Source organism: Homo sapiens, chromosome 3 (assembly GCF_000001405.40).
Source record: "Homo sapiens chromosome 3, GRCh38.p14 Primary Assembly".
Classification (NCBI taxonomy): Eukaryota; Metazoa; Chordata; class Mammalia; order Primates; family Hominidae; genus Homo; species Homo sapiens.
In genome coordinates this window covers 52360609-52384335 of record NC_000003.12, presented here as the reverse complement: position 1 = coordinate 52384335, position 23727 = coordinate 52360609, and the positions used below count along the sequence as shown (strand labels likewise).

The window sequence follows — 23727 nt, the reverse complement described above, 5'->3', positions numbered from 1 at the left end:
CCCCCATCTGTGATCTCTGGAGTTCTATCAGGGGGTTCTTGGAAGAAAGCACCATGGGGCCCTCAGGGAATAAGGGAAGCAGTACCCGTGCAGCTGTGTGCGCAGCACCCTAGTCACTGTGATGACCTGTGGCTCTGCGCATTTACAGATGAGGAAATGGAGGCTTAGACAGGAAACACAGCCTGACCAAAAGCTTACCCTCGGTGGTGGGCCTGGGAATCTCACCCAGACCTTGGTGACCCTGAGCCCATGCCCCAAGCTAAACAGGTCTCCCCAAGGGCCTGAGCTTCAGCAAGACACCCACCAGTCCTTGGATTTCTTCCTGGGAGGATTCCAGTTCTGGGATCTCATTGAGGAACACGGTGGCCACAGACTTCAGGGCTTCTGCCGGCCACTCGTTAAACCAGTCGATGGTACAGCAGTTGACCAGGGAGGGAAACTGCCTCAGACGAGCTCGGAAGACCTCTCCGATGGGGCTGGAAAGTCAGGAATCCAAATGAGGTCCAGAGACACTGACCAACGACCCCAGGAGCCCAGGACCCAGGGCCCTTGCACAGCCCTGTGGCATGGCAGCCAGGACACAGCAGCACAGCAGCCTGGGCCCAATGGCATGATGGCCAGGCCCAGGGCCGCGTCTCCTCATCTCAGGCCCCAGCGCATGGCATCCAGTGTCCCCGGGGCCAGCCCATGTACACACCCAGCTCCGCTGCCCCAGCGCAGCCTGGCGACAGCTGCCTGTACCTCATGCACAGCACCATGTGGATGTTGCTGCGCACACGCCCTGTGTAAGCAGCCATGAGGTTGGCCTTGGTGGGCTGTAGGCCCTGCTCCTGGATATAGGGCCGCATGGTGCTGACGATCTGGTCCTGCTCGTCCGCAGTATACAGATTGGGAATGTCACCAGAGTTTAGGACGTTGTTGATATCTTCCAGGAAGGATTCGTTCTTGATCTGGGGAGGGGTGAAGGAGTGGGGAGCTAAGCCCCTGCATGTTGGACTATATGACCACAGTCTCGCTGGACCTTCACAACAGCTCCATTTGACAGACTGTACCACTAAGGCTCAGAGAAGCCCAGAGTCACAAAAGTGACCTCATAACAGACTAGCCTGTAGTCATAGTCTAGGACTTGCCCCCATGTAGAAGCTCTGAAAACCACTGGGTTGTGGCAGGACACTGGGTCCTCACTGGGGGTTGTGGCATCTTCCTCTTCGCCCCTCTCCATGTCTCAGTTTACTCACAAGAGGAAACCATGGCCACGGGCAGAGATAGGTCCTTGCCCATCTCATACAGCCTGGGCCTGGCTTGTGTTAGATGGCATCCTCCCTTTCCTGACTCACAGTGGCTGCCTTGAAGGGAGCTCTGGGGTTGGGACAGGGCTGGGAGCAGAGGGGCCTTTGTCTAGGATGGGGCACATTCAGGGGCTTCAGGCTGGGCCCCTGGGCCCAACCCTGACCACCAGCCAGGTTGAAGCCTGTTCTGTCGTGTGACCCTAGACAACCTCTCAGAGATCTAGGGAGAAGCCTCATGCCATCCCAAGAGGGAGCAGGGAAGCCATGGGTCCCTAGCACTTTGGGGACAAGCCCTGTGGTCCTTGAGGTGGGACACCATTGGCCAGTGAGTGGGGTGCTATGCTACCAGGGCCTTCTTTACCTTCGGGGCATGAGTGATGATCTATACCCCACCTTAGCTCTGAGAGGTTGGGTTTGGTCTCATGCTCTCAACCTGCCCATCTGTGGCCCCACCTGGTCCTGGTGGTCTCTTCTGAGATCTGCCCTGACTGTGAGCTGGGCATGAAGGACTGGCCACCTTCCGGGATGCTATGCTCAGATGGGGTTGTGTCCAGCCCCCCCGAGCCCTGCCCTCTGCTGTGGCAGTGGCACCTGGGTGTCTGAGAAGAGGAAGGTGATGGGTAGGTTCTGTAGGCCCGCCTTGAGCAGGACCTTCTTCACATCATCTCGCCACTCGGACATGCCGTAGTTCTTGGATAGTTCAATCTGGAAGCACTCGTACTCGGCCCTGGAGGCAGAAGTTTGGGTTGAAGCATGCCAGGGACTTGGGGCCAGACGCTGAAGGGTGGTGGGTGACCACACCCTACCCTGACCACCTGGAATTCTGCTCCCATCCTGGGCAGACCTGCAGACCCTTCAGGCCCTGAACCTGCTTTTTTGCCTTCAGACCTTTGCCCAAGTTGTTCCCTCAGTCCAAATGCCCTTCCCTTCCATCCTCCCAGCTCTGATTCTGAGAGCAGCCCTGGCCACCTCCCCTAGTAATCCCTCTGGGATGCCTGCACCACACTTCCCTCCCTACAGCACCACAGGCACTGCTGCTGCCTCTCCCTGGAGCCCAGATCCTGCTACTAGTCTTTCCAGAAGCCTGTAGGCTGCACGGGCCTACTTCAGGGTTGCCCGAGGCCTCTACCACTGTGCAAAAGCATGGGTCAGTCAAACCGACCAGCCAGCCCTGGCCGCCCACTGCCCAGCACGCCCTGGAGGCGCTCACATGTGCGAGGCGAGCCTTGTGAGGGAGCTGCGGCCGCTGCCACCCACGCCCAGCAGGAGTGCATTGCCCAGCGCCTGGCGTAGGGTGCGGCTGATGCGACAGATGTGGCTCATGGCGTCCATGAAGAGGACCAGCTTCAGCTTGGCCGTGTTGATCTGGTTGTAGTCCTCTATGTACTCCTCTATCACCTGCATCATCTGTGCACCAAGGCGAGGATGGGGAAGGCGGGGTCTCTCTTACTGTAGGGTCTCCCCGATTCCCCCCACCCACCCGCTTTCTTCTCTGTCCTGACTGAGAAGCACAGGTGCCTTGACCACCTGTGACCCGGCCAGCTGCATGTTTCCCCTGCAGGCTCGAGCCCAAGCTGAACATTCCCAGACACTGATAAACTTGCTTAGATTGTTGCTCAAAACACTGAGGGATTGGCCTAGCGCGGTGGCTCACGCCTGTAATCCCAGCACTGTGGGAAGCCAAGGCGGGAGGATCACTTGAGCCCAGGAGTTCAACACCAGCCTGGGCAACATGGCGAAACTCTGCCTCTACCAAAAAATAAAAAATAAAAATAAAAATTAGCTGGGCGTGGTGGTGCGTGCCTGTGGTCCCAGCTACTCAGGACGCTGAGGTGGGACGACTGATAGAGCCCATGAGGTAGAGGCTGCAGTAAGCCAAGTTCATGCCACTGCCCTCCAGCCTAGGTGATGGAGCAAGACCCAGTCACATACACACACACACAAACAAAAACAAAAGCAAAAATAAAACCCACGGGGGGATCAAGCATATTGTTAAACACATAGAAGCTAGCCCCAGCCCACCCAAATCCTTCAGTCCTCATGTGAACTCCATAACTCATATGACTCCCTTGTTGCACACATACTGAGCTAGAACATCTCTGCTCTCCCCTGTATGTGAGTTCCCCTAATAAATGCTCTGGACTAATTACCCTGTAATTCAATGCTTCTTTCTTTGGAATCTCAACCAGCCCAATCTAGGGATGGCTTGGGGGCAGTCCCTTGTAGGAACTTGCTTGCTGTCACTTTTGGGGCGACTCCAATCATGGGCTCGGCTGATCAGAGCACCGTGTACTGGGGCCCTCCCTGACGGGGAGCTCACCTGCCACAGCATACCCTGTTCCTCCTGTGCATGGTGGGGACGCTGGGCCTTAAGAAGCCAGGCCCCCCTGCACGAGGCCTGACCCAGGGACACATGGAGGCCTGAGAGTTGGGTCAGAGCCCTGCCTGCTCCTTCTGGGGCTTACCAGGGTGTGCTGACCCTGTGACCCTGGTGGGAGCTCTTGGAATTAGGAGAGGATGCGTGTGGAGAGAAACTGTCAGGAGGCCTGCTTCAGCCATGCAGCACTGGGGCCACCAAGTGAGGCCTCTTCCCTGCCTCCCTGGGGTCCTGACTGAGACCCATGGCCCCAGGCCCCGCCCCCGGCCCCTTGTGGAGGGATGATTGCCCCTGTGTCTAGAGCCCATCTCAGCTGGACCACAGGCTGGTTTTCAGAGATAAGTGAAGAAACCGGTACCCAGAGAGAGCAAGGGCATGCCGGGAGTCTCCTGGAGCTGGCTGTCTTACCCCGCGTCCTGGCCCCCTGGTTATAGTGTGGTAGTCTGTTAGTGGTGACTGCAGGGGGCCTGGGCCCCAGGGAGGCAGATTGAAGAGGACCCCACCAGGGGCAGGGCGCCTGCCTGGGCCCCTCACCTTACTCTCACTGGTGATGAGCTCGTAGGACTTGACATCGGAGCCTGGTGACATGAAGTCCCCGTAAAGAATGGGCTGGAAGGGGCAGACCTTGTTGAAGGTCACCTCCCACTGCTCCATGCAGCGCTTGAGGAGCTGGTCGAACCAGCTGCGGTCCTCCTCATTCACCAGTCGGTCCCGGAACACGCGGCAGTTCTCGTGATACCACAGTCGCAGCAGCTGCACTTGGTCCTGCAGTAGCCCCAGCATCGGTGCCTGTCCTTGGCCCCCAAGCCCTCAGCTATCTCTCAAACCACCAGGCAAGGGAGGGTGGGCCCCAGTTCCTGGGGCCCTGACTGGAGCCTGGCTCTCCCACCATGGCCCAGGGACAGTGTGTGGGGGCTGCTGGCAAGTGCAACTGCTGGCTGGCTGAGGATGGGGTGGATTGCACAGTGCTGCCTGGGCCTCCTCATGCCTCAGCTCCGAGTCCAGCTGGCCAAGTGCCCTCTGGGTGTCTGGCTCTGCTAGCTTGTCACAAGCACCTCACTTCCACCTTTTAGCCCCCTGTCGCTCCCCTAACCCCAAACCTGGGAGGGATGCTTGATGCTCCTAACACTTTCCCAACACCCCACATCTAACCACCCACCAAGCCACACTGACATGACCCACCAATCTCCTCTGAACCTGCCCCCTCTCTCCATCTCAGCTGCCGCCTCTGTCCCAGCTTCCCTGCATCTCCCTGGGTGGCAGGACTGCCCTCCGGAAGCTCCCAGCCTTTTCTGTAGACTTTGTTGGCTACAAGCGTGGCTACAAGGCCAGGGTCAGCTTCTGTCCTGCTCACCCCATCTCCTTAGCCTGGGCTACACACACACTGGCCGCTCAGTCCCATTCCAAAGTGCAGGTCTGTCCCCCGCCCACCCACACGGCTCATTACACCCTCAGAACAAATTTAAGCTCCATGTTGGCCCCCCACCGTGCCTAGTGCCTGGACCCACCCCTGCCAGTGCCCCTGACACCTGGCTCCCTGCTACACTTCCCCCTCCTTCCACCTGGGGTTTTTGGTTCCCAGAGGGCACCCTGCTCACTGTCCCTCAAGCGTTCTCACATGCAGGGCCCAAACCAGAAGCCCTCTTTCTCCCTCGTCTTGCCCTGGCTCTCTCATGTGATCCCCGTCTCAGCCACCATTCCAGGTGTGGGTTCAACTAACAAGACTGGGCTCAGCTGCACCAAGGCTGGGCTCTGGAGGGCCTGGCACCTCCATGTTCCAGGAAGCCCCACTCAGGGCCTGTTTGGGCAGGAAGGCCTGAAATTGGTGGGGCTGGGGAGGATGCGGAGAGCAGTGTGGGCACTGGGGAGGGTGCCTGCCTGGTCCTCACCTCGACCTTGGCCGGGTCAGCCATGAGCATGCCTTGGAAGACCTTGGAGAGGTCCCTCAGGTTGAAGGTGTAGTGGGACTTGGCTGGAGTGGGCAGCAGCTGGGAGGTGATGGTTGCATACACCATGATGGTGGCTTCCACAAGGGGCTCCGTGAAGTGGGCAATGTGGGGGGCCCCAGCTGGGGGAATAGGAGAATGGCCTGGGTCACATGCCAGGAGCTCCCTCTGCCGCCTCTGCAGGTCCTGACCTCCTTGCCTTTGCTGTGCTGTGCCCCCCACCAAGCCCCTTCCCCAGCCTTCAGGCTTGGATTCCACGTACCCTTTGGCCCCATCTCGGATGCCCCCAGCTTGGGGGAGGTGAAGAATCTCCTGCTCTGCACCCCTTATATCTTTATGCTGACATGGCCTGTCGGAGCACTGGGACTCATCATGGAACTGGGGGCGCTCGTGGGGTCAGTGCTGGGCGGGGCCATTACTGCCTTGTCCTATGGAGGCTGTGCCCAAACCTGAACATTCCACCTCTGAGCCACACTTGGGGAGGGTCTCATGATCCACGTAGGCCTCAAGATGCCGGAGTGGGCGTGGGGAGGCTTGGAGCACACCCCCGACCTTGAGGGCTTACCACCCACTTCGGGGCTGCCTACCCCTCAGCCTGCATTTTTACCACTCATACACCTATCGGCCTGTTCTTTGAAAACTATCCAATTCTGTGCTGGGAACCCAAATTCTGTCAGTGGAAACTTGGCGGAGAAGTGGAGAAAATGGAAAGAAAGGGCAGGAGAGGGGCCTGTCTGTTGACACAGGCACTGGGCACAGAGTGACCCAAACAGACACACTCCTTGCCCTCAAGCTGACACTCTTGTTGGTAAGGACGACAATGAGTGGATTAGCAAGTAACAAAGACAGCAAATAGGTGGCAAGGGCTACGGGCAGCCCTGCAGCAGGAGAGGGGTCCGGGGAGGGCCAGAGTTGGGCTTGGGGGCGATTTTACGGAATGCTGGGGGAGGCCTCACTGAGGAAGGGGGGTCAAGCAGAGAAGTGAGATGCAAGCTTTCACATAACTGGAGAAAAATTGTCCCAGGCAGAGGGGACAGCAAGGGCAAAGGCCTGGAGGTGGGAGCAGGCCTGGCATCTTAAGGACCAGCAATGAGGGGATGAGCAGGAGGCGGTGAGATCAGAGGATGAGGCAGGGCGAACTGAGGATGGCTTTGCCTACCATTGTCAAGACCCGGGCTCTTGCCTGGATGCGATGGGTGAGAGAGGAGGAGTGTGGACTGATGGAATGATTTCATGGGTCCCTGTGGCCCCAAGCGGAAGATAGACCTTAGGCAGGTGAAGGCAGCTGCCAGGAGACCATGGCGGGGCTACAGCACTGGCTGGGTGGGCAAGGACAGGGTGGTGAACAGTGGCCGATTGGGATGGGTTCTCAAGGGAGAACCTATGGGACCTCCTGACAGGTGAGCTGTGGGGTGAGGGAAGGGGGGATGGAGGATGGCGCCAAGACCCCGTCTTGCTGGGAGCACCTGGAAGGATGGAGCTGCCATTGCCTGAGATGGGAAGAGTGCGGGGACCGGGGTACTCGGGAGTTTGGCTCTGGACAGGTTTGGCCTGAGATACCCTGTGGACATCCCAGGGAAGATGTGGAATCAGGCATTCATGGGAGAGGTCTGGGCTGAGGAGGTAGACTTGGGAGTTGCCAGCACAAAGATGGTTTTCCCCGTCAGAGGCGGGATGGGACTGTCTCAGGAGAGTGTGGTTGGAGGGAGAGGAGGCTGGAGACCAAGCCCCAGTCCAGCCGAGAATGGGCAGCCAGGGATGGGGGAGGCCTGAGAGAAGCCCGTGGCAGGAAGGGGATGTCTGCCGGCCAGCACTACTGACCCCTGGGAAGGCGAGAACAAGGGCTGACCGCTGGTCTGGCCACAGAAGGCAACTGGTGACAAGAACTCTCAGAGGGTGAGAGGTGCATTCACAGGAAAGTGGGAGGGGAGGGCGGGTGCAGCGGGAAAGACAATGCTTTGGAGGAGTTTTGCTATCAAGGTGAGCAGAGAGGTAGAGTGACGGGCTGGGGCAGGTGGGAAGGGGGCCCAGAGAGGCTGTTTTGCATTTGGTGGTTGAGATGGAGAATGGGGCTTGTTTGTGGAAGGCCCAGTGGCGAAGGGAGCACTGGTGTTGGCGGGGAAGAGGGGTGCCACATTCCCAGGCAGGCCCAGGAGGAGGCTGGGCTTTGCTGTGGAGCAGCAGTCCGTTCCCAGCCACAGGAGGGAAGGCAGGGCGCAGGTAAGCAGGTGGGTGCAGACCCAAAAGGGAGCTGTTTCTCGACAGCCTCTTTCAGCTGAAGGCAGGGTGAGGAGGCAGGCCTGGGCAAGGACAGGGACTGCAGTGGTCAGCCGCCTTGCCGCGACGACGGGCAGATTCACCACGATGCCTGCCCCGCACAAACCACTCCCGGCTTTCCTGTGCACACCTGCTCCCTGGAGTTCTGATTCTTCACACAGGGTGGGAGTTTGTTGGATTCCCTTATTTATGCATTCATTTTGCATTTAATTTGCATCTATCATCAGCTGGACACTAACGCAGGCATGGAAGGGCTCTAAGAATGGGTGAATGAGCCTATGGGGCAGCCAGTGCCTGTGTCAACCTTCGCTCTGGCACCCTAGTGGCCCAAGGTCCCTGCATGAACCTGAGGATGGTTCACCACGGCGCCTGGTCGCAGCCTCAACACACCCAACCAGAGCCCAGGGCTCCTCCTGGAACCAGTGCCCCATTCCCGCCCAGGCCCACACTTACGCACACGCTCCCGGTAGCTTTTTTCTCCAAGGAGTCCATCTAGAGGATGGAGGGAGAAACACGGGGCTCAGGGTTAGGTGGACCTCTTGCTGCTCACCCTGGCCAGGTGAGATGGTGGGGGAAACAGCATCTTGGGGTAAGCTTTTCCCCAAACCCCATAAAGGCTCAGAGACACTCCGTCCATCCTATCTTGTGGCTTTTCCTGATTTACAAAAGTAACATGCCTTCCCCAGAGTTTCTGGGCAAGTACTAACGTATACGTATGTATGTATGTGAGTGAGTGCATATCTGTGTGCATCATACATCCAGCAATCACCACGTGCCAGGCTTCATGCTAGGTGCTCTACATGCAATATCATACTTAACCCTCACGACCTGGAATGGTAGGTACAGATGAAGAAACAGGCTCAGAGAGATTCATGAGCTGCCAAAGATCACACAGCTGAGTGAGAGGTGAACCCAGGGTTGCGGTCATGGTTTGGCCACTCCACCCTTTCTGGTGGCCACCCAGTTGTCCTTGGTGTGGCCTCCCTGGCCTGGGCTTCTGCCTTTGTCCATGCTCACCCCCACCAATACTCACCCAACCAGTTGCCCAGGATGGTGGAGAAGATGCGTTTCTTGCTGACCTCGTCCATCTCAGCGAAAGACAGGTAGTTGAAGTGACGCATCAGCCGCGGGGTGACGGTGTTCCTGCCTCCACCCGGGGGGCCCATGGCACAGACAAAGTTGATGTCCACTAGGTTCTTGAAGGCACCTGGAGTAGGGGCAGGAAGTCAGGAAGGGCCCTGGCCAGGGCTGCATTATGACCTTTGTGGCCCCTTCTCCATACAAAAATTCAAAATTATACTTTAGAACAGTACTGGAATAAAGACAAATACATCAATATTACACAGGAAAATTTTTCTTTGCCCTAAAAATTCATGCTCCTCTCCTTTAACTTTTTTTTTTTTTACAAAGTTCAAAAGTACTTTTTATTGCAGACATTTTCATATACAACGTTAGTGAAATCGAGCCCCACCCCCCGCCCCCATGGTGAAGACATAGTCCTATCTTATAAAAACATTTCAAGTAACCCTGGACGTTTTCATGTCACTCTCGTTTTTAGTACCTGGGGATTGGCTTTGGCTAGATTTTCTATTTTAACCCATGCTTCTTCTCGTACTTCCATTTTTAGCTTCTCTTTTAGTTTCTCTGCTTTGGACTGTTGTGTACAGTCATCAAACAGCTTTTGTTCCATCTCTATGAACAGATTCAGGGCGTTGTATATCAAGCCATGTATTATCTTGTTCCAATGGGTCTTTGAGTTGTGGTACAAGGAAGGAAACATGATGGGCAGAATCTTCGCTGCATTGTCACTGATTAAACTCATGATGTATTCATTATTCCAGTAATAGAGAGCTCGCTCTGCCACCTGGAAGTGTGGGCTGGAGACACATTTGGCCAACTGCCGGAAGAGGGGCTCCATGGTCTTCACAAATTCTGATGGTTCAATGACATCTAAAATCGCTTCTAATTTGTTTAAGAACATTACTTCTTTTGGACTGTGAGTCTTTGGCCAGCATTTGAGAAGTGTCATCACCACTGGTTCTGTGGGGGTGCTGTCCTTTTCTAAAAACTGCACTCCACAGTATGCCAGCTGGGGGTGGTAGACACTCAAGAGATTTCACTTTGTGCAAAGGTAGTAACACCTTCAATAAGAAAATCTTGTGTTCTTCTTTTAGTGGTAAGGCAAATCCATTAATTATACTTCCCAATATTTCCAGTAACTCTGCTATGCCATTATGATGCTCTGTTTCATAAATAAACCTATAAAATATATTATTTATCTGTTTTCTGATGTAAGCTCTCAAGCCTAGGAATTTCCCATAGATTCTGTGAAGGGTGGTTTTAAGAAAATCTCTCTCCTGAGGATCTTCACTGTCAAAGAGCTTTAAAAGCTGCAATACAAACTTCTGATCAATATATTTCTTCGCTATATTAGATTGGAAATCTGCAGACTCTAAAAATCTTAAGAAAAATTCATAAATAAGTGTAGATGAAGCCAGCCTGCTTCTAACGTTGGTTCATCTTCCTCTGAGTCAAATTCTGCTCCCGTAGGATTGGAGGAAGGTGGTAATATTCGAAACATGTTAACTGCAAACATATGGACTACTTCTGGGTAAACAGGCTCTGTGATCACATTCCAATTATGGGTGATATATTCTACCATTTCACTTAAAGCAGCTCGTTTTAATTCCTTCTACTTTAGTTCACTTAGTGGATCAGAAACAAAGTCAAAAAGGACGCAACACTGACATAACTTCTGGATAAAAAACTTCTTTTGATCAGCAGGAGGAACATCTTTTAAGGATGGTAGTTTTTGAAGTTCTCTATTACTGCTTGCGCTAAACCTTGAAGAATTTTGCTGTTTGTCTTTCTTCACTATGGGCTGAGAGACGGGTACTTTTATTTTAGCAGACACTGTAGACGGGACAGCAACAAGGCTGTTTTTCCTGACGGAAATTTGCTCTGATTCTACTGTGTCTTGTCCTTCTTTTGAACTTTTTCCACTCTTCCCTGCTTTTGGTGATTCTTTCTCCTTCTTGTTTTATTCGGCATGGCTGGAGCGGGCCGCCACCGCCCTTGCCGCTTCCTGCCCCCGCAGCAGCAGCGCCCCCGCCCCGCCGTCGCGCCCCCGCGGCCACCACCGCCACCTGGGGACTGAGACATTCACTTGCTCTCGCTTCCCCTTTTCCAGGCTTCCAGAGGCTGCGGCAGCCGTGGCGGCGGCGTCTCTCCGCCCCTCCCCCAGCCGGCCCCCCTCCTCCCCTTTAATTTTAAGAGAAATTAAAACATTTTTGTGGGTGCCTTAAAGTATTGTAGGCCTTCAGTGCTGTGCCTCCTGTGCCCCTGCACAGCACGCGTAGCCCTTGCCCTGTGAGCCAGGCCGGCCACACTCACCAATGATCTTGCGGTCGTACCAGCCGCCGTGGTCCATCCACTGGCGCAACAGCTCGATGGGTGGCTGTGCACCGTAGGTCTCCAGGGCCGGCATGTTCAGGTCATCGATGAAGAAGATAAAGTTGCGCCCCAGAGGTGGTCCAAACACACCCTTCCGCCTGAGGGGAGGGGCTGTGTGAGCCCAGCACCCACAGGCACCAGGTCCTCTGAGAATCCAGGGGCGAACGGGTGGCAGCTTTGCCTCTGGGAAGCCCTTGCTAAATTTTAGCCTCCTCCAAATTGCTAGATGCCTTGACCCACCCTCATCCTTGTTCTGAGTGTCCTGGGACAGCTGGGACAGGCTGACCTGAGTCTGAGCTCCCTCAAAGTGAGTCTCGCCTCCCAGGCAGATGGACAACAGGCTTCTCACAGACAGACCCAGGGCCCTGTCCAAGGGCACAGCCAGGGCGAGCACCCACTCGCTGACTGGCTTTGTAGGAATTTTTGATACAGGGAAGGCTCTGGAGCAGTCTGTGAGGGAACCCTGGGCCCATTGGGGGGCTGTCAGCTCCCCCTGGGAGGTTCCTGGCAAACCCAGGAGCATAATTTGGTGGAGAGGTGGGACAGCAGCTGGATCGGCCAGGCTGGGAGGATGCAGGGGTGAGGAAGGAGGGAGGGGTGCCCTGCCTCTTGTCCAGCTTGCTGTCAATGAAGTCCTGGGTCTGGTTGGCTGAAGTGCGGGCTGAGAAGGTGAGGAAGTGGCTGATGTAATCCAGTGCCAGGTTCTTGAGGAGCTTGTCAGAGATGGTGAGCGTCTTCCCCGTGCCTGTTGGCCCAATGCACAGCACCTGGCAGAGCGGGGATGGCACAGGAGCATGCGGTGGGCCTGGTGCACAGGAGGAGCTGCCCCTGCATCCATGTGGGAGGCTGGTCAACCCCCAATATAGGCCTTGGGGACAGTGGAGGCAGGGCCTGGGGGGGTGCTCACGGGCTTCTTGTTGGTGAGCAGCATGTCCAGTAAATGGGACATCTGCACGGTGTCCATGGTGGGCACAATGATGTTGCAGTAGTTGGTGTCTGGTACCATGGTGAATGGAGCTGAGGAGTCCATCCACTTCACCCAGGCAACCTGGAATCATAGGTGGCTCAGCAGTGGGCCTGGAACCCCTCCCTGCCCCACTCCTGGCTGCGGCCCCATGGCCAAGTGCAGAAGGGCCAGGAGCTGCACGGCTGGGCTTTGGCAAGCGGGTCCAGGTGCAGGGCTGCTTCCGGCGGAAATGGAAAGTCCTGTGCCCTGCTTTCTGCATGGGGAGGGGGACTCCCAGCACAAACAGCCAAGAATGGGGACTCTGAGCACAACTGCATAAGAGGGCTCTCCCTGCCCAGGTTGGGGGCTCCCTAAGGACTGCCAGGCCCTGAGTCTCTGCAGAAAGGAGAAGCTCCGAGAATTGAACAACCCAGAATGCAAAGGGGTTTTCTGTTTAGTTTCAGGCTACCCGAGAAATGTGGGGGCCAGAACCATGGGCACTGGTGTCAGCTGGAAGCTGAGAGGCCACTAGGTCCAGTCTTCCCAACACTGTCCCCGCCTGCACAAATCCCTTCACTCACAGCAGCCCTGACCCAGCTTGCAGACGTCCCCTGATGGGGGGATCACTATGGCCAAACCAATGCATCCCACTGGGCACAGTCTTAAACGTTAGACCCAAATGTGCCCTGGGAGCCCCCAGCAGGACGCTGCACAGTAATGGACAGGTCTCTGCAGACGCCTTTCCACCTCTGTCCTCCTGGGCTGGGGTCTTGACCTTGGGATGAGGGTGAGCTCATGGAGCCCTTGCTAGCTGATAGTAGCGATGAGGACACTGAAGCAGGCTTCAAGAGCTTGCCCCCCAGCCCTCGGGAGCCCAGTCTCTGGGAAAATGGGGCTTTTAAGTGGAACTGAGGTGGCCAGTCCCTGGGCTCCGCATCAATGTGGAAGAGGCAGTGCATATGGCTGGAAAGGGAGGTACTCGAATGTCTCCCCTCTTAGCCCAGCCCTAGGTTCAAGTACAGCTCTGCCACATCTGGAAAACAAGCACAATAATAACCACTCTACAGGGCCATGAGGATTCATGAGATGATGCAAATAACCGCTGCCTGAGACCTGGTGGCCATCAATGTGACGGCTCCCTGTGTGGCCATAATTCATTGCGGGAACAGCAGCCACCCAGTGGTCCCTCCCTGTGCAGTCTCTGGGGAGGGCCTGCGGCCACCTGCTTGTATTCCTCCTCTTCATCCTCACTGTCGTTGGTGCCACTGATGCCCGCGTCCTCCAGCCTGTAATCGAACACCAGCCCCTCTTCTGGGAAAAGCAGAGTCAGCTGCCGGGAACCAGGAGGAGAAGCAGGCTGTGAGGCCCAGTAGGACTGAGGCTCCTGGTCCCTGGGGGCCGCCGGCTCTCACCTGTTCGTTCTCCATCTTGAGCCTTAGCCAGTGGCTGAAACTGGTGCGGCCACTGCTGTCCCCAGTGGCACCCACGCTCCAGATCAGGGAGAAGATGAACCAGGGCTCGATCAACTCTACGATGCGACTCAGCTTTTCAGAGGGTATTTTCTTGAGGCCCTGGGGATGAAGGGAACAGTATCAGGCTGAGACAGGAACAGTATCAAGCGGCCTGAGGAAGTGGGGCAGGGGCATGTCTTGACCTCTGCTACACAGCTTTGTTTCTCTACAGCCAATTGGACAGGTGGTCTTGTCCATGTTGCACCATGTTGCACCAATCCAATTCTCTCTTTCAGGCCCCAGAGAGCAAGGAGAGCAGTGTGGGGAGAGGGACCAGGTGCATCTAGCCCCACTCTCAGGGCTGTACCTCTCTAGGCAGAAAGGGCTTGAAGAAGCAGTCCAGCAGCTTGAGGAGGCTCATGGTCAGGTTGCAGTTGGTTGAGGCGATCACCTCCTTCACTGAGGACCGAACGAAGGAGATGGATTCCTGCAGGGAGTAGGCACCCAGTTCTCATGGCTGGCAGCCACAGTGCCCTGCTGCCCTGCCAGGGTCAGACATACCCGTGGCCTCACTCACCTCCAGGAAGCTGACAAAGAGGGCCTTGAAATGCTCCTCATAGGGCTTCAGCAAGGGAGGCAGCTTCCTCAGCCAGCACTCGATGAAGGGCATGAGCCCCAGGATGCTGGGCTCCAGGTACACCATGCCACAGCGGGAGACTGTAGCTGGTGAAGCCACCGCCAGGTCTTGCACCTCGAACATCATGGTCATTGCCTGGTGCCAAGACGAACCAAATGAGTGGGCTGGCTGCCAGTCCTCAGGCCTGGAGAAAGGGCTGCAGGGCTGCGGGGAGGGGCTGCACATCCTGTAAGTGGGCGGTGTGGGCAGGCTGTGGGGCAGGGGCAGTGCTGGGTGGGACAGGAACCGCTGGGTCCTCAGCTGATAACGTGGCTCTCCCTGGAGCCCTGAGGAGGACCCCAAGTCAGGAGATTCCTGAGGTTCGCTGACCAGACTGGGGTCAGAGCATTTTGGGGTCCCTGGAGGCCTGGGCACATCTGATGGGAACTGTGTATTTTGCTCCAGAGCCCTCCACCCCTGTGCACATAGACACAGGTCCACATTGACTGCCAGGTATTTGCTTTTAGAAGGATTCAAGAGCTGGACTCAGTGTAGACCCCTGAGATGCTCTTGTGCCCAGGCCATATCCCTCTTTCTCTGACAACTGCTCCTCACACACCAGACAGATCCCCGTGGTGTCTATGCCATCCATCTCCCAGACCCCGGGCATACTGCCAGGGCCAGGTGCACACCTGACCCCACCTGACCTGACTGGGGCAACATGGCTGAAATTGGGCCTGGGAGGCAAGAGGCATCATCAGCCGGGGAGCAGTGGGACAGGCATCCTGGTGGGCTCGAGCACAAAAGAAAGAGGGTCTGTGTAAAGGGTGCTCTGAGCAACTGTGCGGGACACCCTGAGGTGTGGGAGCTCAGGGAGGGGCACTAGGAGCTGAGCCTAAGCTCCTGCTAGCAGGAGGGCTCTTGCTGAGTCAGGGTGACAGCCTGAGATGGACCCATGGCCCTGAGAGAAAGGGGTGAGGGGGCAGAGTTTGGCCAGCATGATGCAGCCTCCAGGCCCACCCAGCCTTGGAGGAGAGTGGGCAGGTGGACAGGTAGGTGCACCTCTGTGAGCTTGATGATCTCCCCAGAGCTGAGGCACAGCTTCTTGTTGTCATCCAGCACCGTGTTCATGTTCTCAATCCAGATGGCATCCACCGGCCCATCGAACATGTACCACTTCTTGTTGGTGTCGGAGGTGATGGCCCCCGCCCGGATGAACGAGGAGAATATCCCGTCTGTCCTGCAGCGCCAGGGAGGAGAGGGCTGGAAACATCAGGGAGGCGGTGCTTCGAGCACAGCTGGCTCCCAGGGAAGCCTGGCCGCCGGGTGGGCGGGCTCTACTTTCCTTCAATCTCTTTGTTCTTTTAAAAATTATAATAGGAAAAGTGGGATTTTTTTGGTGTCACATGGTGTAATGAAAACATGTGCTTATGTCCCTGCCCTGCTGAAGCCCCATTAAAGGTGAAATCCCAACAGGAAAAAGGGAGCAGGGGAGGAGGCAATAGCAGAGATGGAGGAAGTGCAGCTCTGGAAGACAATGGACAAGGATGGAGGAGGGTAAATGACAGGGCAGAGAAAGCAGCGTGGTGAGAAGTGGCCAGGTCCTGCCTCAGAACCCAGGGGACTCAGACCTCAGAGGCAGCACGCACCAGGGAAGGGGCTGGTAGGGCTGATGAAGATGCTGTGCTTGGTCCAGCCTTAGGCTCCGGAACCTTCTCCTAGGTGCCCATATATGCACGTCCTTGTAAAATCCAGTTTCAGTAAAGAACCCTGCTAAGTCAGTTTAGCCAGAACCCTTGATAACTGATCACTCTTGAGGCTCCTTCCCTGCACCACCCCCAGGCAATGTCTGGTTACGCTGAGGCCTGTCTTCAGTTGGAATCCTGTTAGATTGGTTCAACCAGAATCCCCCTCACCACTGATGTTTCCTCTGGATTTTCCACCCACTGATGCTCACCCTGCCCCTTGGCTATAGATTCCCACTGGCCCATGCTGTATTCAGAGCCCAGTCTCTCCCCTTAACTATAAGGCCCCAGTGCAGTGGTCCCTGTGCCTGCCATGCTCCTGAATATGTTCTTCCTCAGCATGCTTTAAAAAGTATCATTGAGGGCTGGGTGCAGTGGCTCACGCCTGTAATCCCAGCACTTTGGGAGGCCAAGGCGGGCAGATCACCTGAGGTAGGGAGTTCGAGGCCAGCCTGACCAACATGGTGAAATCTTGTCTCTACTAAAAATACAAAATTAGCCGGGCATGGTGGCACATGCCTGTAATCCCAGCTACTCGGGAGGCTGAGGCAGGAGAATCGCTTGAACAAGGAGGCAGAGGTTGCGGTGAGCCGAGATGGCGCCACTGCACTCCAGCCTGGGCAACAAGAGCGAAACTTCGTCTCAAAAAAAAAAAAAGGATCATTGAATAATTTTTTTTCTTTAACAGGGGACTTTTTTCTGGTCTGACCCCCAGCCCCCTCACCTACCTACATAAGAGACTGGAGTGGATATGGGGGAGAATCTTCACCAGAAATGGGGGAAGCAGTACAGGTTCACGTTGTGGAAGGTGGGCGACTGTCCCTCCCTAGTGACCATCCCCTACAGGGCTCCCAGAACACTGGAGCCAAGCAGACACCCCCAGCAGAGAACTGGAGACTCTTGCCTGGAGAAACAGAATAGCCTTAGAGAAAAGCCCCTGAGGTGCCGACGTCTCAGCAGTCTCCATCCAGCTGCCCTTCTCCTATCTCAGTGCACTTCCCCTAAAATGCACACCCCGGCCTGGGAGCAGGGGCCCGGAGAGGGCCCACCAGCTTCTCTCAGGTCATGACAATGGCCAGATACTGCAGAGGCACTGAGCGTGTTAAGTCATTCTTGCCTTACCATAAGCATGGTGCCATTATTGTCCCCGCTTTGCAGACGAGGGAACCATGGCCTGGGGGGTGAGGAGGGTCACTCAGCGAGGAAGTAGAATGGAGAATAGAATCCCAAGCGTTGGGCTGCAGAGCCCGGCCTTCCACTGGGCTAATGGAGGGAGGGGTGACCGCAGCCCACAGCCTCCAGAGGTCTGGGAGCAGGGGGTCACCGGTGAGGCTGGGGGGTCACTCACCACTCATGGGTGAGGAGGTCAAACTCCCCGTACAGCTGGCCCATCGTGATGGACTTGGGGTTGAGCACGTAGTAGTTGACAGCCTCGTACATGCCACCACTGATGGATGGCTGCCCTTTCAGTGACGTCATGGCAGCTGCCAGGACTCTGTAACACTGGGAGACGGACCGCCTGAGAGTGAGGCTCCCAGAGAGCAGGGCTAGAGTGGGCTGGGGGCCAAGGGGAGGGGGAGGGGTATTCTATGCCAAGGGGCACAAATGGAGGCCAACCCCTGTTGAAGCTGCACCCCCCTACAGGCCCACTATCCGGACACTGGCTGCCAAGCTTGGCTCTGCTTACAGTACTCTTGCCGGAGCCTGTGGGCCCGACGAGCATGAGGCCGTGTCGTACCACCGTGGTCTCGTAGAGCTGGATGCACTTTGTCAGGAAGCCTGGGGGACATGGCATGGGGCCCAAGGGTCAGAGCATGGGCTTGGGTCCTGGCCACACCACTAACTTGTGTGACCTTGGGTGAGTCACTGCACTCCCTGAGCCTCAATTTCCTCATCTATAAAATGAGGATGGTGGTAGCACCTACATCATAGGCAGGGGCAGGTGAAGCCCTAAGCACAGAACTTGGCAGAGTAGAAACTCTGTAAATGCTAGCCATTCTTTCCACTGTGACTACCGTTCCTTCACAGCCATTGGTCAGGTGGTCAGCCATCACCAGCTTGCTCAGTGTCAGCTGTCACAGGCCCCAACTTCAGCCCCAGCCTGCTGAGAGCACCACCCCAAGTAAGTGCTGACTCCTATGAGCAAACTCCTAGAGACAAGATCCTAGGGTCAGTTGGGAGCTATAGAGGCAGCTGCCAGCAGGCAGAAGCCAGGCCCACAGGGGTAGGGAATAAATGCCTCACTTTGGCCCAAGAAGGGTGGTGGTGGCTATGGCCCTGCAGGTCCGGGGGTTCCTGCCAAATAGGGCCCAATTAGCCAGGGACGGCAAAGGTGACCTAAGGCTGTGAGGGAGAGAAGAGTTTGAGGCTTCATTCAACAAGCCTGCTAGGGTCGGGGGTGCAGGAGGTGACCAGAGGAGGAAGCATTCGAGCTGCACATGGAATTGAAGCACAATGGAGGGCACCTGGGGGAGGCCTTGCAGGGCTGAGCAGGAACTGCCTAGGGTCCCGAGAAGGGCCTTGTGTGGCCAGGGTGACTGGCCATGGCTTCCCAGAGGAGCTCCTCCTGCAGGCCCACCAAAGGACCTGCTGGAGGGGGTGGCTGGCTGGGAATGAACTGAGACCCTCATCCTACTATGAGGGGCGAGGGTTCGGGATGAGAGGGAGTCTATTTGAGGGCAGTGTCCCCCCAGCCCTCCCAGACACATGGTGGCCTTTGCAACAAGTCAGTGAAGGAAGGGCCCAAATGTTCTTTCTTTAGCGCAGTGACGCCAGGGGTGTCACTCAACAAGGAACGTGGGCAAGTCCCGCTAGTGGGGTGGAGCCAAGAGGCCTCTGGAAGAGGTGAGTGGTGGCTGTGGTGAGGTGGGCTGGGGTGCAAGGAATATGGCCTTGAAACTCCAGTCACATCCCAGTGAGGGCCAGGCCCTGATGAGGCAAGGCCCAAGAGGAGCTCGGGGCTCTCAGCCCACACGGGAAGGAGGGCCTAGGAAGGGGACAACGCCTGCCTCCCCACCACCAGGCGGGTTTTGGTGGAGACTGGGCCGGGACATCTGCCCTGCCTCTGGATTGCTCGGCTGAGAGCCCGGGCCTGCAGCACACTTGGCCAGGTGTGAGGGCCCCTGGGGTTGGACTGTCCTGTCTCTGTCCCCCTGACCTGGACTCCAAGGTGGCCATGGCCAGCCCCTCCACGAACACTCAGGGCCCGAGGCTCACCCTCCACATCCTTGAGGTTGCTGTTCCTGCAGGCCTCGCGGATGGCCTCATCCAGGATGCCGTAGTCCGTGTCCTCCTCCTTGATGGTGGGAAACAGGTCGGACACGATGCCAGAGAAGAGCTTGAGGTCCTCCTGCAGGAACTTGGGCACGTTCACATCACGGATGGCCCGGAGGCAGATCAGCTCCTGCAGCAGGTGCCGGCTGAGCCTTCAGGGCAGTGGGCCAGCTGCCCTCCAGCTGCCCAGGAGCCCTCCCAGAGTTCCACTCCTGGAGCCCTGCTGGGTGGAGCTCACCTCATTCATGCTGGGGTTTTCTCGCTTGAGGTTCCCAGCAGCCGAGATCACAGTTTTCACGGCTCTCATCCCGAAGTCATAGTGATCCTGTCGCCATACAGAAGGAGGCATGGGTGAGCACTGTCCCTCTCCAAGGCTTCTGCCTGGAACACTCTGCCTCCCACCTGGCAGTTGGCCAAGTCTCATCACCAGCTCATAGCACTTCCCTTGCAGACCTGCTGGGACCACCTACATGCCCAGCCTGGGCAGGTGCACCTTCTTTGGGCTCCCCGGGCACCCTGCACTTTACTGTCCCGATAGCCCCCTCCTTTATCCGATACCCATTCTGCATCCTTTGGTCACTGTCCCAGCACATGGCCAGGGGCAGGAGGGCCCTCTAGTTGTGCTGGAAAAGTGAATGAAGGAGTTTCCCATCTGTGCAACAATCAGCTTGGCCTTGATGGCCCTTGAGCTTCCTTCTAACATTCTCCCATAACATCTCTCCAGACCCGTCTTTCTGGCCACACCACCATGCTTTTTCCCCCAGCCTGTTTCTCTTCATTACACAGTAAGTGAGTTGGAAATAGTTAAATTAATCATTCTGCCCCATGGTGCCCAACCAAGAGGACTCCATCTAGACCCAACCCATAGACTAGCATATGTTCCAGAAATCTCGGACTTGGAGCTGCATGAAGAGGCTGGGCTTGACTTTGGGTCATTTCTATTTGGGAAGAGTTGAGTGCATTTCCAAAACCATGTGGGATAGTTGCTCTGATTGGGGGTGGGGAGCATTTTGGAAAGAAGGGTGTGTGGGAGCGCCGGCACCCAGGAGTGCACTGTGATGAACTGCCACTGCTTTTCCTGGTAACAGGCTGCATCTCTTCTAGCTCATAGATTTTGGTGGACTGCATCTGGCCAAAGGTAGTACTGATTACCCCTGGCCACAGTGATTGGTGTTCATGGATGAGCAGGTGACCCAGAGAAGGCCCATTAGGGTGACAACAGGGATTTTTTTCTGAAATCATGATGGAAGACAAACTAAGTTGCTAGCATGTCAGCCCAGAGGTGGGACTCGTCTCTGCTGCTGCAAAGTGGGGGCCTGTTTGGGAACCAAGCTGAACAGGAAAGCTCATCCACCAGCACTGGTGCCTGGGCCACCCCATCTGTCCTTGGAATCTGGGCTCAGCAAGCTGAGTGGAAGGATGGTGGTGCTGGGAGGCTCGGAGGGCCTGGCTGTCCTACTCTGGTCCCCACAAGGCCCAGGTGCACTTGCTCCCCAGCCTGGGGTTCTGAAGCTCTTGGTGCCCTAATGATCAAGGCCCTTGCACCTGAAGTAGCCACACAGGCATCTGTTCCTGGCTCCTGCTCCAGCGCTGCTGTGTACTGCATGAGCCTGGCCAGACCTTTAGCTACCTAGGACCTCGGTGTCCTCAGCTGACAAATGGGCATGTAACTCCTATCTCCAAGGGTTGCTGGGAGAAGCCGACAAGGTAATGCCTGTAAAGCACCGGGCATAGAGCCTGGCCCTCAGCAGGTGCCCTGGAGGCTGGGAGCAGGCAGAAGTTTTCAGACCCTGGAAACCCATCAGGGCAGGACCACACCTGGGAGCTGAGCTGCTCAGAAGACAGCTTGAAGGTGGTTGTGATCTTCTTAGCCAGCACACTGGCCTCATTAAAGCCAAAGGAATAGAGGGAGATCTCAGTGATCATGGCGTAATCTGGAACCATCATGGCCACGGGTCGGAAGAGCGCCTGGGACACACAGTGCACATGTGAACAGCAAACAGAGCTCACCCCCAGAGCACCCCCAGCTTCATCCGGCCCTCCTCCCTAACACGCTGGGACTCCCTGCTGCACCAAGCCTGCCACAGCTGAGGCTTTCACTCCCCTGAGACTGGTAGCTCTGCCATTAGAGTGGATCCTTGGTGTTGATCCAAACCTGCCCCCACATGACTCCCAGGAGATGCCCCTCTTGGCTCCTGTTTTCCTGTTTCTCCTGAAGGCCCAGGGTGAACAGGTCTCATTAGATTCCCCCTCCACACCACATCCATAGGCAGCCTGACTTCTCCCATGCCCTGAGGACAAGTCTGAGGCCCTGAGGCCTCCCCTCCATGGCTAAGGGGCTACCATAGGGAATCACAGTCCCTGGAGTCCAAGCAACTGTGTCCTTGCATAAGTGGCTTAGCATCTCTGAACTCAGGCTAGAGCTCTGGTGCTTCCTGGGCCACTCTGGGCCTGCACTTGCCTTCAGATTGTCAGGCAGCTCCGTGCGGCCAGCGTAGCCCGGGTTCATGGTGATAAACACTGCGCAGGATGGCACCAGTGGGATCTCCACACCCTCAAACATGAAGCGTTCCACCTGCAGTGGGGAGAGGCTGACTTGCCTGGGACTAGGGTGCCCAGCCTTGTCCCCTCCTCTGAGTGGGCCCCTTGTCCCCTGTTGATGCCCCTGTCCTGGCTGTAGCTGGTAGGCCAGGCCTGGACCCCTGATCATGGGTTGTATCCTCTCTCAGGATCTGGCCTGAAACCTCAGGCCCCAGTGGCTACCCATGGCCTTCCAGCTCCTGGCTTCAGGCCCTTGGAGGTCTCCACATCTCCTGCTTCCCACTCGCTCCACCCCCAATTCCCCAGCTCCAGCCAAGCTCAGCCTGACTAGGGGAAGTGGGGGAGGGGATAACTGCTAGCCTCTCAGCTCCTGTCCCCAGAACAAGGTCCCTGGCCGCCCTGCACGTGGCTAGAGAAAGGACCAATGCCTGGGGCTTTCCATAAAGGTCAGGATGTAATGAGGAGGGGACCCCTTCATCCCCCGCAGCTTGGCCTGGGAGCTGCCCACAGACTGGGGTTAGGGTGTGCCCCCGGGACAAGAGAGGCTGGACCCAGGGTGGACCTTAGCGCCTGGCTTCTCAGCCTGCAATGGGGAGCAGTATGGCGGCGTGAGTATGGCAGATCTGAGGGAGTAAGGTGGGTCCCCCGGGCTCACCCGCTGCTGCTGCGCCTTCTGGATGGTGGTGATCTGCTGCGCCACCACAGACAGCACCTCGATGTCGATGCGATTGAACTCGTCGAAGCAGGCCCAGGCCCCAGCACTGAGTGAGGCCGGAACATTGGATGGGGCACATGTGTTCAGAGCCCAATCTGGGCACCTCCCTCTGAGGGCCCCCTCCAACTCCACTTGGGAGGAAGCCCTCAGGGGCAATCTCCATCAGCTCAGTCTTCAACCCACTGCCACTCCCCACCCCAATGCCCCCAGGACCAAGCCGTGATGCCTATTACCCCCTTCTGTCCCCTCCACCATCCTTCGAGGCCCCTCTCAGGCACTGCCCTCACCTAGCCCTCCCCAAGGAGAGCTAGGCTGTCCCACCCCATCCTGTGCCACGCTCATGCCCAGCCTCACCTGGCCAGGCCCTTGAAGAACTTGCCCATGGCCATGAAGTCGAGCTGGTCAGAGCAGTTGAACACAACGGTCTGTATGGCCAAGGCCTTACCCAGGTCTTTGGTGGTCTCAGTTTTGCCTGTGCCAGCTGGGCCAGCTGGGGCACCCCCAAACTTGAGGTGCAGAGCTCCGGTCAGTGTCAGGTAGCACCTGCAGGAGACAGAGGAGGTGGGCTCGGGCCGCACATGGCCTGGACACTCCCCCTTTCCTTGGAATTTCCTGTGGACTGGGGCCTCTCGCCCCGTCCCCTTTTGGTGGGCTGGGGTGTGCCCAGCCCTGGCTCCGGGGTCAGGACTGGAGCCTGTGGACACCTGCCCAGCGCGTTCCCTGTCCCATTTCACCACCCTGCCCAGCTTTGCCCAGGGACCCCTGGGGATGGCCGACATGTGGCCACACTTCACTTCCCTCACTCAAAACACAGCTTGAAAATCCAGCTAGTGCTAGACACAGGCGGCAAGATGACATGACTGACTGAGCTAGGAGGGAACTATTAGAAAAGGGCTCACCCATGATGTCTCTCAGCTCAGTTCCTCTGGCACATTAAAGGAGGAATTGACGGATAAAAACAGGAAAGTGCATACCCATTAGATGCTCACTGAGTGCCACACCTGTGCTGAGAGCTCTACATGTATCAGCTCATGAAATTCTCATTACCACCGTGAGGAGGCCTCAGAGGAAACTCAGGCACAGAGGGGTCAAGTCACC

At 56.7% G+C, this 23727-nt stretch overlaps 1 protein-coding gene and 1 pseudogene across 4 annotated transcripts in view, besides 2 other annotated features; both read right to left on the bottom strand.

The window, feature by feature from the left end:
- The window catches only part of DNAH1 (dynein axonemal heavy chain 1), an 89573-nt gene that overhangs the window by 16157 nt on the left and 49689 nt on the right, over positions 1-23727 (bottom strand). For 2 of the 4 annotated variants that reach the window (XM_017006129.2, XM_017006131.2), the window contains exons 30-54: positions 22984-23172; positions 22570-22675; positions 21835-21948; positions 21192-21341; positions 19612-19698; positions 19317-19503; positions 17788-17879; positions 17449-17603; positions 16005-16073; positions 15418-15595; positions 14317-14511; positions 14107-14226; positions 13701-13859; positions 13511-13618; positions 12250-12390; positions 11949-12109; positions 11283-11440; positions 8923-9096; positions 8343-8381; positions 5556-5734; positions 4201-4431; positions 2500-2696; positions 1881-2016; positions 742-950; positions 305-476 (exon numbers count right to left, since the gene is read on the bottom strand). In XM_017006129.2, coding sequence (XP_016861618.1) covers positions 305-476; positions 742-950; positions 1881-2016; positions 2500-2696; positions 4201-4431; positions 5556-5734; positions 8343-8381; positions 8923-9096; positions 11283-11440; positions 11949-12109; positions 12250-12390; positions 13511-13618; positions 13701-13859; positions 14107-14226; positions 14317-14511; positions 15418-15595; positions 16005-16073; positions 17449-17603; positions 17788-17879; positions 19317-19503; positions 19612-19698; positions 21192-21341; positions 21835-21948; positions 22570-22675; positions 22984-23172 — 3706 coding nt within the window. The remainder of the gene's footprint in view (positions 1-304; positions 477-741; positions 951-1880; positions 2017-2499; positions 2697-4200; positions 4432-5555; positions 5735-8342; positions 8382-8922; positions 9097-11282; positions 11441-11948; positions 12110-12249; positions 12391-13510; positions 13619-13700; positions 13860-14106; positions 14227-14316; positions 14512-15417; positions 15596-16004; positions 16074-17448; positions 17604-17787; positions 17880-19316; positions 19504-19611; positions 19699-21191; positions 21342-21834; positions 21949-22569; positions 22676-22983; positions 23173-23727) is intronic. The other 2 variants (XM_017006130.2, NM_015512.5) reach the window with 1 other exon arrangement.
- Positions 9292-10684, bottom strand: PPP2R5CP (protein phosphatase 2 regulatory subunit B'gamma pseudogene; annotated as a pseudogene).
- Positions 10889-11148: a silencer, noted in NCBI's record as "silent region_14440". NCBI's record gives its function as "represses an Ori minimal core promoter by ATAC-STARR-seq in GM12878 lymphoblastoid cells {active_cell/tissue: GM12878}" and the evidence as "EXISTENCE:reporter gene assay evidence [ECO:0000049][PMID:35858748]".
- Positions 21492-22045: an enhancer, noted in NCBI's record as "H3K4me1 hESC enhancer chr3:52396307-52396860 (GRCh37/hg19 assembly coordinates)". NCBI's record gives its function as "activates a minimal SCP1, AML or CMV promoter by ChIP-STARR-seq in primed H9 embryonic stem cells {active_cell/tissue: H9 hESC(primed)}" and the evidence as "EXISTENCE:reporter gene assay evidence [ECO:0000049][PMID:30033119]".